Source organism: Homo sapiens, chromosome 8 (assembly GCF_000001405.40).
Source record: "Homo sapiens chromosome 8, GRCh38.p14 Primary Assembly".
Taxonomy (NCBI): domain Eukaryota; kingdom Metazoa; phylum Chordata; class Mammalia; order Primates; family Hominidae; genus Homo; species Homo sapiens.
Window position 1 is genome coordinate 98,360,653 of NC_000008.11, and position 13,277 is coordinate 98,373,929.

The window sequence follows — 13,277 nt, forward strand, 5'->3', positions numbered from 1 at the left end:
TCCTCCTTCCTTGAGAGCTCTCACTCACAGACACTTTCATTACTTTAATATTTTACGATGCAGCCATTTTGGAAGACATAAGGGCATCATCTCTGTTTAACTAAATGTCAAAGTAAAGTAGTCAAGGCTAGTGGCTCTCTTGGCATGCCAGTGATTAGATAGCTTTGTTAACAGGCCAGTTGGGCTGAGGCTATGTGATTACACGCTCTCAGCTACTTCTATGCAAAATGATCCATAAACAAATAAAGATCATGGATTGCAAAAACATTTTCCAGGGGTGTCAGAGTGTCCCTAAACGTTCAGTTCACTCTCTTCAACCTTCCACATCTATAGCACCCAAGCTCCACAGGACACAAAATCACAAGGTCAAAATTGGATTTTGTCAGTCTGATAATCTGCTATTTTCACACTCCTGTAGACCCAAAACCCTGCAGAATGTATAAACTAAGGTATTAGATTACACTGAGTACCCCCCTTCCCAACCAGACTGGACAAGAGAGAACTTACACCTGACTTTAATGAGTGCTCAGAAGTGGCCAGCGCCCTTGGAGGCTGAAGAGCTTCATGCTGGGAGTTTAAGGCCCACACACTCTGCAGACCAGGCCTTGCCTCCTGCCCACGGTGCCAGAGGTGGTAGCTGCAGAAAAAAAAATGCAGTGCTTCTTTTTAAAACAAGGCATGACCCCCATATATATATATTATGGTGTGGTTAAGGGCATAGGCTCTGGTGCTGGGCTGATGGTTTGTAGTTTGTTCTGGCACTTGATAGTTTTGTAAACCTGTGGGTTATTTAACCTCTCTGTGCCTCAGTTTCCTCATCTGTGGCATGCAGGTAATAATAATTTCATGGTTGTTGAGAGGGTTAATGAAGTACTCAGAATAGTGCCTGACACCTCTGAGCATTACAATAAATTGAGCTATATTTATGATCTTAACAAAAAGGATGGTCAGGCTTTAACATCTGTTTGGGTTGCCTTGAAGTCATGAGTTCAAAATGCCTGCCTCCAGTCCCCTCTCTGTGTTAACAACGACAAAGCAGCGTACCTTGTATAAATGGCATATATTTCATTGGGACACTGGATGTTTTCACCCCAGGCACACCAGCTTCTAGAAAGGACCTAGGAACAAGGTGGTTTTGCTGGTCTGATGAGGTTGGAGAGAGCTGCAGGGACAGGCCTTCAACATGTGGCCTTGTGGCTTCAGAACAAGGGAGCCACAAGGGGGTTCTGTAGCTTCTTGGCTCAGGGCACCTAGCATTTTGAACTCAAGCCAGTCCCAAGGGTTTGGTGATCTCAGCTGAGTCCTCACTGCCAGCCTGAATCCTCTGTCAACTGGAACTGGCTTTGCAGATGCTGCACAAGCTCCTGGCAGACTCCATTTGGTTGGATTCCAGGTGGCAAATGTCCCTCTGGGGAGGATTGTGCAAAAGTGTTCCTTCCTCCCAGAAGGAAGGTCGGTTAACCAACAAAGAAGTCTACCTAGAAGAGAGCAAAGGAGGGTGGAAGAGCGGAAGTTAGGCTCATTTTAATAGTCAAGAGATCCCTTTGAGAGAATGTAGAGACGAGCTTGGGTGAAGCTTGCTCAGTGGGGAGAAGGGAAATGCCCGGTTTGGATCTTTACTGGAGCAAGCACTGACAGCACTTATTGATGGCTTGGATGTGAGGGGTAAGAGAGAGTGGGCTCAAGAATGGCTGCAACACTTTTTTTTGAGACACTGGGTGCTGGCGTGCCACTGTCTGCACACTCCCTTTACAGGTTGAGCTGGGGGGCTGTGACCGCTCTGCTGGTCCTGCTTCTATTATTCTATTGGTCAAAGCTACCCTCCCCAAGGTCAAGACAAATCCACTGCGCTTTAGAAGATCCAGGGTGATGGGCGATACTGTGGGGGGACACTTTTCCCTGAAGTCAAATCTGCATCCACCCAGCGTCTAGCTGATTCCCGAGGTGGATTGCCAGGAATGTCCATCCTTCCCCAGATCTAGGGCAAAGGCTGCTTATGGGAGGAGAGCATCCATTTATTTTACCTCAAACAAATTCCTGCAGCACAGGCTTAGAAGCTGGGGTGAAGTGGGGCAAAAGTATGATGCTTCCACCTAAATTCCTATCACACAGTCACAGCTAAGCCCAGGGCTGTGCAGAAGAGGCCGCTCCCTTCACTTCCTTAGCCACACCTCTTCCCTGGGTCTGCTCCCACAGCTGGGCACCTCAGCAACCCAGAAGGATAGATATTCTGCAGGTCTAATTTGGGTCAGCAAATTCCCATTTGCAGAAAATCATTTCAGATCTGACAAGAGTTAGTGATCTGTTTCTAAAAAGCTTTGACACAATCATTATCAGTCTCTCTCTCACACACACTCATACCATGTTATCTACAGTCCAGGAAAGGCTCATGCATTCTGAATGTATACTCCACCCTCTTCACAAACCACTGTAAAATTCTCAAAGCCTACACATGCTTGCAAATAGATCAGCCTTAAATGGAGCAGGGTCTTTGAAGACCCCATGAGTCATGTAGCTAAAATGTCCACTGGGGAGACCGACTTAGCAGCATGCATTTTTCTATAACAAATCAAGTTCAGAGCTTTCCATGGCACCCAGCTCAATGCCAGAGAAGGTCCATCTATCTCTGGTGGGGAGCCAGTGGTCAGGAAACATATGAGGCTAAATGCTATGCCCTTCACCTGGTGGAAATGCACCCCCAGAAAATCACTTCGCAGAATAACAAGGAGACTCATGCTGCTGGAGTAGAAAGAGCAATGGACAAGGAAGAAGGGGCCCGGGTTCCGGTACAGGCTCTGCCCTTACTGTGCTCCCCCAAGGACCATGCCTACCATCATGGGGCTTTGGTTTCCTTGTCTCTGAAAGGAAAGGGCTAGATCAGATTAAATTAAACAATCACTAAGTACCAGATATGTGCAGGGGAAATGTTCTGTTGGAATGAAAAAAAGAAAAAAGAAAAAAGCCAAATTTCAGCTCCAGTCCTCAAGGAACATGCAGTCTAGTTGCAGTTGGTTAGCCATGGTACTGCTTGGTTAGAACTTGAGGCCCCAAGGGGGGCTGAGTGACATTCACCTCTTTGAGATTTAGGAGGCAGAGCCTCCTGGTCTCATCTCATCCCTCCCTGACTTGAGCAGTCTCAGGTTGGAAGTGATGTCACCGCGGAGATTTCACAGCCAGAGGAGGGCCTGAGGACCCCTTCTTCTGCCACTGGCCATTGCTATAGTATGGAGCCTCTAAGTTCATATACCCCACCAGACACTCAAGAGTGCCAGGCAGGATGGGAGGGGAGTACAGATGGTCAAGATGCTGCCCTGGCCTGAGCTGTTGCCCAGCGCTGTTCTCTCTATCACAGTCAGGCCAAACAGACCTCAGCTGGGAAGCCCGGAGCTGAGAGAAATCTTAGTGAGTTGGTGGGTGTCACTGTCTGCTGGAGGGCCACTGTGGGAGGCAGCGAGCCTGGGGTTCCTGGAGGCATCTCCAGACAGCCTGGAGCCTGGGTAGTGGGACAAGCAGTTTCCTATGAGGCCTCAGGCTGGAGGGTCGTCTTGGCGTTAGGATCCGGCAGATGCTGGGTCTCACATACAGCGCCTCTCACTCCCACTCGCCTGCTTTCCATCAGCCGCCCGCTTCCTTCCACATCTGTGCACTCAGCAGCCGTGGCTACCTATGAATTCCCACTTGGAAGAAGCAGATGGTGCTTTATAGCCACTGGCTGCCAACTCCCTCTGGGCCTATCTTGAAGTCCCCTGTCCCTCTCCTTCTGCCTCTCACACTGGGTCTCGGGAGGCCTGCCAGTCTGTTTCCCCGGAGGCTGAGTAAGAGCCCCAATTCCAAGCCATATTTCTCTTCTTTGGTTTCTATTTCCTTAACAGTGACCTCTGTCCAAGGGCAGCATGCCCCAGCATGCGCCTCTCTCCCTCTGCTCTTCCAAACGCAATTATGTGGCTATCACTAGCTTAGTGCCAGGACTTGGATTCCTTTAGCTCTTAGGCTGCTGCTTCTCCATCTTCCCCCACCCCTATGCCAGATTCGTTCTCTGCCCTCCTAGGGAGAGAGGAGGTTGGGGATGCGGGGTGACTCCTGTGGACTACATCTCCCAGAATGCCTCGTATTTGCCTTCCAGTTGGACTTAGCCAACGGGAGGCACCCAGAAGAGGTTAGCAGTTGGGAGGAAAGATAGCTCACGGTATTTCTTCTCACCGATTTTCCACCCTCTCCCTGCTTTGGTGTCATGTACTGGTCTTAGGTGCTGCCCTGCATGACTCCAGTTGCCACCAGTCATCCCCTCCTCCGGAGTTTCCGTTTTTACTGGACCACAATTTTACACTGTTTTTCTCCTCCTCCCTTTAGCGTTGGGGTAGTAATGACTTCCGCTGTTGCTGGTCCCCAGAGCCTCACCATCCCGGTGCATTCCCACAACTCTGCCTACACCACTGTGAATAGTCTTTTTATGTACGTGTCTGAGCCTTCTGGGGTGAATATTACCATACCGATGCAGTAGTCTTCTAGCTTTCATTTCAGAGTTTGACTCACAGCACTTTAGAAATCATGTAATTTTTTCCCAGCAAGATCACTGGAGTGGATGCTTTGCTTTTAATATCACGCTTACTACAAGTTCTAGACGAATGCTAGAAAGGTTAAATTCCTTGATAAAGCCAGGGGAAGAAAAGACACTGTCTCAGAGACAAGATAAAAAGGTCCTACAAGAACAGCAAGAAGTTGTTCCCATGATTGATGACATTCTTGATTCTAACTCCTTGATGAAGAGAAGGGAGGGAGGGCCAGGCTCTGGAAGAAGAGAGTGAGACAGAGTGACCCCAGGTATGCTTATTTTTAAAAGGAAAAATCACCCTGAAAGAAGCCATGTGCCTGCCACCACAAATGAACACATGCTTACTTGTAAATTTTTACTTCAGATCTTTTTAAAAAGAAATAAAACATTACAGAATTAAAATATCTCATGTCCTCACACCAGTCCTGTTCCCCTCCCTCCCTCCCCAGAGCAACCCTATGATGGTTTCCATGTGTCCCAGTTCATGTCTTTATATTTTCACCACACATGAATGTATTGATAAACAATATATAACATTTTTCCATGTTTTTAAATTTGTTTCAAAAAATGTATCATCCTATACATAATATTCTGCAACTTGCTTTTATTGCTCAAAATTGTGTATTCTAGATCTAGCTATATTGATATATGTAGATTGGCTCCATGCCTTCTAGTTGCTGTACAGTAATTCATCATACAGACTTATTTGTTTTACTCATATCCTCAATTGTGGGCATTTTGTGGTTTCCATTTTTTTTTTGTTTCTATAAGCAGTATTTATAAAACATGTACAGGAATTTCCCTAAGATATAACCTAGAAGAGGAGAGTTCAGTCATGGGTACAAGTGTTTGCAATTTTATTAGATGTTACCAAAATTGTTCTCTAAAATGGTTTTTCCTACCTGCTGAATTCCTGTTTCCCTATATTTTCACCAATACTTTGTATTGTTGTGATTTTCTGTTTTTACCAAGCTAATAATGTGCAATTGAATTTCCTTGTTTAAACCAAATACTCTCACTTACTGTTGAGGCCCAGACATCTTTTCATAGGTATATTGGACATTCAGGGTTCTTCTGTGAATTGTTGGCTTATAGTCTTCATTTTTCTATTGGAATCTTTGTCCTTTAAAATAATGACTTAAAGAAATTCTTTATATTTTTTGAATATTAATCCTTTTTAATTTGTTTTTTACTTTTCCAGAAGTTTATAATTTTAACATTTTCCTTTATGATTTCTGACATTACTGTCTTATCTCCATACCATAAAAACATTCTCTTGAGCATTTAGGTCCTTAAGCCATCTGAAGTTTATTTTTAATTGTGGTGTGAGGTAGGGATCTAATGTTTTTGTTTTTGTTTTCCACATAGGAAGCCAACATACTTATTGAATGGTTCAGTTTGTCCACTAATTTATAACGCCTCCTTTATCATAAACTAAGCTCCATTTTATGGTGGATCTATTTCTGAGCTTTCCATTCTGTTTTACTGATCTATCTGTCTATTCCTGCTCCACCCACCCCCACCTGGCTTCAGCTGAGACTGTCACATAAAACCCATGGCTTTCTATCCTGACTCCCATGTCCAACATCAGCCTCCCCAGTTTTGCCCCACACACGTCTACTAGACCTATCTTTCCAAGAGTCATCATTGCCTAATTTATTGCATGCCCACTGTATGCTAGGCAGCATGCCAACTACACATGCATTATTCATTTGTTTGTCACTGCCCTGTAAGTCAATGCCTATTTTGCCAATCCGGACATCAAGGCTCAGAAATTGAGTAACTTTCCCATGTCACACAGTTAGTAAAAGACAAAGTAGAGACTGGAACTCAGGTCTGTCTCCAAAGTGTTGGTGGCTCTCCAGTTTCATTTTCCAGCATTCTCTACCTCTACAATCTGTCCATCTGTAAAATGGGGATATTCATCCCTCCCTCTCAGGGTTGTTATAAGAATTGTGTGAGATTAGATATGTGAAAGCACTTAGCACAATGCCTAGCCCATAGTAAGTATTCAATAATCATCAGCCAAATTTGAATAAGAAGCAGGCAGCAGTTGCTAAAAGTTTTCTTAAAAAGTCAAACCTTACCCCAGCCCATTTATCCTGGCTTTAGAATCCCAGCAGGAGATGAGTGAGTCAGTGGGGGTGAGTGCTTAGGGATAGAAATAATCTTTGGATCGCTCCCCCTTCCACTCTTCTTCTGGTTAGAGGCTCCCAAGAGCAACAGGAAGGCCAGAATATGGGAAGCTGATGAGGATAGGAAACCCTTAGAAATCATACTGAGTCCCTGCTGAACCTCAGAGGCTGCAGGCCAACTGCTGTTCTGAAGTTCTGGACTTGCACAGCAAGCCTGTCTACTGAATGGCCATCACGACCCAGATTTCACATCTCCAGGTACCTGGGGCTGGAGCGGGGTTTCTTCCTCCCTGTTTGGGCTGCCTGGACTAAGGCTATAGCCAGAGTCTCCTTCTCTTTAGTGACTGCCATGTCAACAAGGCAACTGTAGACCTCCCTCAGAGGAGGCAGGTGAAAGAAGACAGCCTTTCGGGGCAACTCTCTGGCTAATGGGAAGCACATTGATGAAGGAAGCCGACTGACTTGAAAAATCCAGCACCAGCATGCAGGCTGCCTTTAAGGCTGGAGGATTATGGCCACTTGCAATTTTCTTGCTAATTAAAGTTTTCATAGGAAAAGCAAACACATATCTACACATGTATGTATGAACTTGCACGCTGATTGTATTTCAGAAGCAGTGGGCTGAATGCTTTGGTTGCTGGCTTTCTTTGACTCCACCACTCACATCTGCGCTGTGTCATTGACAGCTCTGGCCATGGCCCCAGGGCACTCTGCAGGGGTCAGAATAAACAGAGAAAAACAGCAGTGGGGAGGACAGCACACTCTCTCCCTTGTTTGACTTGGAACTCCTGCCTGAGTCTTGCAAGAAGCAATATGTTGAATTTTAAAAGAGGTGAAAACTACGTCAGTTACTGAGAGAGAAATCTGAAAGAGCTATAGCCTATCTTCCTTTGCTGGGATCTGGCCTGGGGTATGGAGGCAGGTGCTCACTGCCACGGGAGTCCTCTGGAAACTGACTTACTTGGAAAGGGCAGGACTTCTCGCTGAAACAGTCTCTGCAGTTTCTCAAAAGTGGGTGGGGATCCTGGGCCCCCATAACATGTCTACATGGTTAAGAAGAATGAGACATCCAACCAGCATTTAGGATTGCAGAGATTTGAAGGAGAAGCAGTTCATTATAGGATCATAAAGGGGCCCCCGTTCCTTGACATGCTAACATGGGAGCACACAGGTTCCCACACAAACCCCTAACACATGGCAGGTGACTTGCATATGCACCCACACCTCCATGGACATGTCCAGGGTTAGGTTAGGTCAAATCTAGGGAATGGCAGCTGCAACCAAACCTATGTCTCCTGCATTCACAAAAGCGTGTCAGAATGAAGGTAAGTTCCAGTAATGTAACAGCAAAGGAACTCACAATTATCATGCTTGATTGTTTGTCACAGATGAACTGTGATGGTGCCATCACATCTGATGGTGCCATCTTGGAGGCAGCAGACCTGATTTCCAGCCCTGGTCCTGGCTGTAACTTGGTGACCTTACGTAGGCCTTCTCGGAACATTGAGCTCTTCATCTGTGAAAGAGTGAGGTTGGGGCTGATGGCCTCAAGGGCACTGGCATAACTAACATTCTCTAGGTCAAGCTCCTATTGTACTTTGCATCACTGGACATGTCTGAGATCCCTGGAAATGAGGATGTACCAGAATTTCCAACTCTCTCGCTATTCCTGCTGGGTCCTGCAACCCTTCTCCAGTGGAAGTTTTCTGCTCCCTTGATTGCCAAATATCCTCTTAATCTCCATCCCTTCCCCCTAATATTCTGTCCTCAGGAAAGGATGTGATAATTGTGTGCCCACTAAGTATCAATTACTAAAGCAGGAGGAAGAATTACCTTTTAACAGAATGAAGCTTTGAACCAAAGGAGTGAAGCCCTAATTGCATAATTGCAGCTGGTGAGTTGAAGGGGAAGGTATTTGGGAGTTAGGACCCTAATTACATAGATGCCTATCCTATTGCTGAAGCCTAAAACGCTACCATTAGCAACTAAGTTCTTTTACTATTAAGGATCTTCTCCCCACAAAAGCAATGTATTAAGATTCAGCAGTCATTTAAGGCCTTGGTAGGAGGGAGTTTTTTGGATCTTTTTTTGTGTATTTTTAATACGGGGGTTCAGGGGAGGTGAGTGTGAAGGCTGGGCAGAAGGCTAGGTGGTTTAGCAGCTGGAGGATGTAAGATGAATGTCCTGAAGGGGAAAAAAACAAAGGGCAGGCCTGGGATTCCAGAAAATAAGTTTCATGTGCCCTACAATTGTGATGAGGGTCTGCCTTGCACTGGGAGCTCCCTTGCAGGGAGGAGGAGGGGCCCAATAAAGAAATCAGAAGGAATTCTAGACATGTTAGAGCAGTGCAGGCCTCAGTGATAAAACAAGAGGCTCTGTTGAGTCACTCCATGGAGACGGGAAGTACCCCCACCCAAAATTTTGTTCAAATGTTAAGACTGATGACACCACCCATGCACCAAGAGGGTATTAAAAAGGTTTATTGCTCAAGTAATGAGGTTTTCTAGGGAGAGCAGGGCAAGCTCCCAAGCACATCTGAAATGTGGCTTGGGCTTTCATGGTGCCTATGGTGTGGGGATGGGGTGAGGGTTCCTGCGTGTGGGCAAAGGTTTATGTGTTGTGTGGCTTCAATTCCTGCTAGTGCTAAAGGAAGGTGAGCCCAGGCATTCTCACCCACCTGCACAGATATGGGGCAGAAGGGGTGGGATGGATGGGGCCTCACAGTCAGACATCAAAAATGGGATTTTGATTTTTTTTTTTTTTTTTTTTTACAAGCTGGGAAGCAGCAACAGATCCAGTTTGTCTCTAAGGCCCATCAAGCCTCTCCCTAACACCAGTAGCCCCCGGGAACCCTGGGCCTCCCAGGTCTTTAATGTTTGTTGGGTGGGGGCTGAAGTGACTTCAGCATTCTCAGGCCAGTGGACCAGGAACTTTCATTCTTTTAGGAACTAGAGAGGCCTGTTAAAAATATATCCTAACTCCACAGACCCCCTGACCTCTGCAGTGTGTGTGTGTGTGTGTGTGTGTGTGTGTGTGTGTGTGTGTATCCTTAGAGAACACTGGCTTTAACACTGATCCCAAGCTTCAGAGTCTTGCATAATGAAATGACTGGGCATCTTAATCAGAACAGACTCATCTTATGCCTGAAAAGCCGAAATATGCTAGAGAGGACTGGGTGGTAGCTCCATAGGTAAGGACCATCATCTCCCGGCTACTCAGCAAGTGCACATAAACCCAAGGATGAGTAGGACTAAAACCAAGAAGACACAGTGGGGTGTCAGCACAAATGTGTGCCAGCCTTCTGAGCTGGACTCAGGGGCCCACATCATCCAGGAATGCTGACATTACCTCTCTTGTTCTTGGAACCAGCTTCCCTTTGCATAAGGTTCAGAGCCAGATAAAATGTAAGCTTGTCTACTTAGAGTCACAGTTTTGAAATTGTAAATGGTATCAAGGAGATGAGGTCTTGGGATCCAAACAAGTCAGGTTAAATCCCATCTGGATGATCTTTGGTTGTTTTCTTTACACCCGAGTCTCAGTTTCCTCACCTGAAAAATGCAGATGCTAGGACCATACAAAATATTGTAAAATGTAGGGGTATTATATGTGAAAGACTTTGCCTAGAGTAGGCACTTAACACTTACACTATATTTTAGGAAAGAGATTGGGAGCTCTGGTAAGATCTCAGACCACTGGACCCAAAATGTTCCTAGGATGTTGAAGGTCCCAGAGGAGCACCCAGGACAGAAAAGAAACAAAACTTACTACATTGTTACATGGTTGTTTGTGCCTGCAGGACAAGACTTGATCTTGTTATTCATTGCATCCCCAGGGCCCAGCCTAAAGCCACTTGTGTAGTAGGTGCTCAATAAACATTTGCCGAACTGGTGAAGTGGTAACTGGTTTATCCATCCCTCTGATCCCATCCAGTAAGGACGAGAAAGAGAAATTAACACATATCAAATACTTGCTATGTGTACTTCCCTGTACATAACATAATTTCACTCTCACAACACTGAGTTAAGTATTTATGGTCCCATTTTAACAGATGAGGAAAACCGAGGCTCCAAGAGCTTTGAAATAATACTCCTAAGGTTAACTAGCTAGTGAGTGCTGGAGCAGGGCTTTCATTCGAAAGCACATGTTCTTTGTAGGCTGCTGGATCGCAAGTGCAGTAGGAGAAAGCACAAGGGCGGTACATCAGAGGGGAGCCAGCAGCAGGAATGTCACTCTGATATTTTCTTCTTCAAACATTCAACTCTCCTCAACCAAAACACTTCCCAGATGCTTCCAGGACCTGGCAAGTCTTCAGTCACAAAGCTAGGGATAGTCCCCACACCTGCAGGAGAACAGAACTTTAGAGGCTGACCCCTCAAGATTATGCTTTTTAACTTGTCTAAGGGCCACTGCTGGAACCTTCGTCTCAGTTGCATTGAGGGCTCTAGGGCCACATGAGACAGTACTTTTACCCTATACCAAGTCCTAGGACATAGGACATGGTGGTGTTATGGCTTGAATTGTCTCTCCCCAAATTGCGTGTTGAAGTCTGAACCCCTAGTACCAGTGGAAAGTGACCTTATTTGGAAATATGGTCTTTGCAGATCTAATCAAGTTAAGATAAAGTCATACTGAGTGGGATCAGGGGGAGGGGGGTCCTTAAACCGAATATGACTAGTGCCCTTTTAAGATGAGGGAAATGTGGACACAGACACCCACACAGGGAGAACACCATGTGAAGACAGAGGCAGAGGTTGGAGTAATGCAGTTGCAAGGCATGGAATATGAAGGATTGCCAGCTGCCATCAGAAGCTAGGCAAAGGCAAGGAAAGAGTCTCAGACTCTGGGTCTTAGAGGGAACATGGCTTGCTGACACCTTCATTTCAGACTTTTAGCCTCCAGAACTGTGGGAGAATCCATTTCTGTTGCTTTAAGCCACTCAGTTTGCAGTACTTTGTTAAGGAACCCTGGGAAACTAATGCAGAGGGCTCTTCAGGGCAGCCTCCAAGTTCCAGAGCCTTATGCCTCAGCCATCAGCTGGGGAGGCCCGCAGACTCCAACAGCCAGGACGCCACAGCTCCCCGGCCCCTCCACCCACTCCTGTGAGACGACGCAGACTTCAGCTCCAAACCCAGCTCTGCCCAGTGGGGTTTTTTGTTGTTATTTTTCCTAGGCTTTTCTACCTGAACACCCAGTGGTTTTTTGTTTTTTTTTTTCCCCTTAACTCTTGGCTCTGAACATCCTTCACTGACGTGAGAGATAATACAAACAGCTTTCTGTTAACATAAGCACCAACATCCTCGCTACTATTTATCCACTTCCACATTGTAGGCAGAGGGTCCAGAACATTGGCTCCGCTTCAGTCTGGGGAACAGAGGCTCTGGAGACTTTGTGCTGTGCACCAGGAGGAGGCAGAGCAGGATAATGAGAAGAGCATGGGTTGTGAACTCTAACAATTCACAGTCTAGCGCTGCTCCCTTCCAGCTGCGTGGCTTTGGGAAAGCGCTTGGTCTCTAAGCCTGGTGTCCTCATTTACAATGTGAGAAAAATAACACCATGCCCTGAGGTTATGATGAGAATTGAATGAGATAATGTGCATGAAGTAACTGATAAATATTATCAGTCTTACTCTGGTTATAATGGTTGCTATTATTTCTTCTTTATAATTAACTTCCCTGAAATGGAATTTCACCATGAATTAAAGCACTGTAGGAGGGGAAAGACAGAGAGAGTCAGATGAGGGGAAGGAAATTCGTTGGGTCTGCCCAGCCTATATTGTGATTATTTGAGAACAGCCCCTCCCACCAGAGTTGGTGCTCCATAAATGGCAGTTATTATTCTTGCTTTTTTTGTGATTGCTGTTTATGAGTTTCTGTTTTTGAGCCATATCAGTGCCCTTAACATCTCCTTCTGTGTCCGAGCCAGATGATTGGATCTTTTCCCCAATCTCTACCCTCCTGTAACAGGATTCTAGATCCACATTCTTTTCCATGTAAAGTGCATTTCCTCCCACCGTGGGCAGAGTGTGCTTTCTACATGACTTGGTTTGGCCAATGAAATGTCATCAGTCATGACATTTACTTATGGTCTGGCTTATTCTCTTACATTCCTGATAATGTCTATTGAACATGTGTGTGCTGGGCATTGAGCTAAATGTTCTTACTGGATCATCACAACTGTGTAAGGCAGGTACTATTTTCATGCCAGTTTTTAGATTAAAAACTGAGGCCTAGAGAGATAATTAACTTGCCCCAAGTCACACTGTAATGGACCCAGGACTGAACCCAGGCAGTCAGCTTGCCTGACCATGTCGCTTCACCATGCTGCCTCACCGCTGGAGGAAGGTGGTAGAAATTCCTTCTGCCCAAAGACACAAAAGGTAATATCTGCTTCTTTTCTTTCCTTTTTTTTGTGAATGTCTTATATAACTTATCCTGTCATCCTTATGACCACACAGGAGTTTTATAGATGAGGAAACAGGATCAGAAAACCTAAGTGGCTTGCCGAAGTCACACAACTAGTAAGTAGCAGAGATGGGATTTAATCTCAGATTTTGAATATTGGACTCCAAAACCTATATTCTTTCCATCTTT

The 13,277-nt window shown here is 45.6% G+C and overlaps 1 protein-coding gene and 1 long non-coding RNA gene across 3 annotated transcripts in view; one reads left to right on the forward strand and one right to left on the reverse strand.

Annotated features, from left to right (window-relative positions):
• The window catches only part of STK3 (serine/threonine kinase 3), a 598,636-nt gene that overhangs the window by 16,678 nt on the left and 568,681 nt on the right, over positions 1 to 13,277 (reverse strand). The window contains exons 13-14 of one of the 2 annotated variants that reach the window (XR_007060752.1): positions 1,045 to 1,478; positions 508 to 637 (exon numbers count right to left, since the gene is read on the reverse strand). The exons of the other annotated variant lie outside the window; for it this stretch is intronic. The gene's annotated coding sequence lies outside the window, so the exon portion shown is untranslated. The remainder of the gene's footprint in view (positions 1 to 507; positions 638 to 1,044; positions 1,479 to 13,277) is intronic. 2 annotated transcript variants of the gene reach the window in all.
• Positions 6,862 to 7,249, forward strand: LOC124901988 (uncharacterized). The gene is made up of 2 exons (XR_007061024.1): positions 6,862 to 6,945; positions 7,029 to 7,249. It is a non-coding gene; the product is annotated as an uncharacterized LOC124901988 (long non-coding RNA).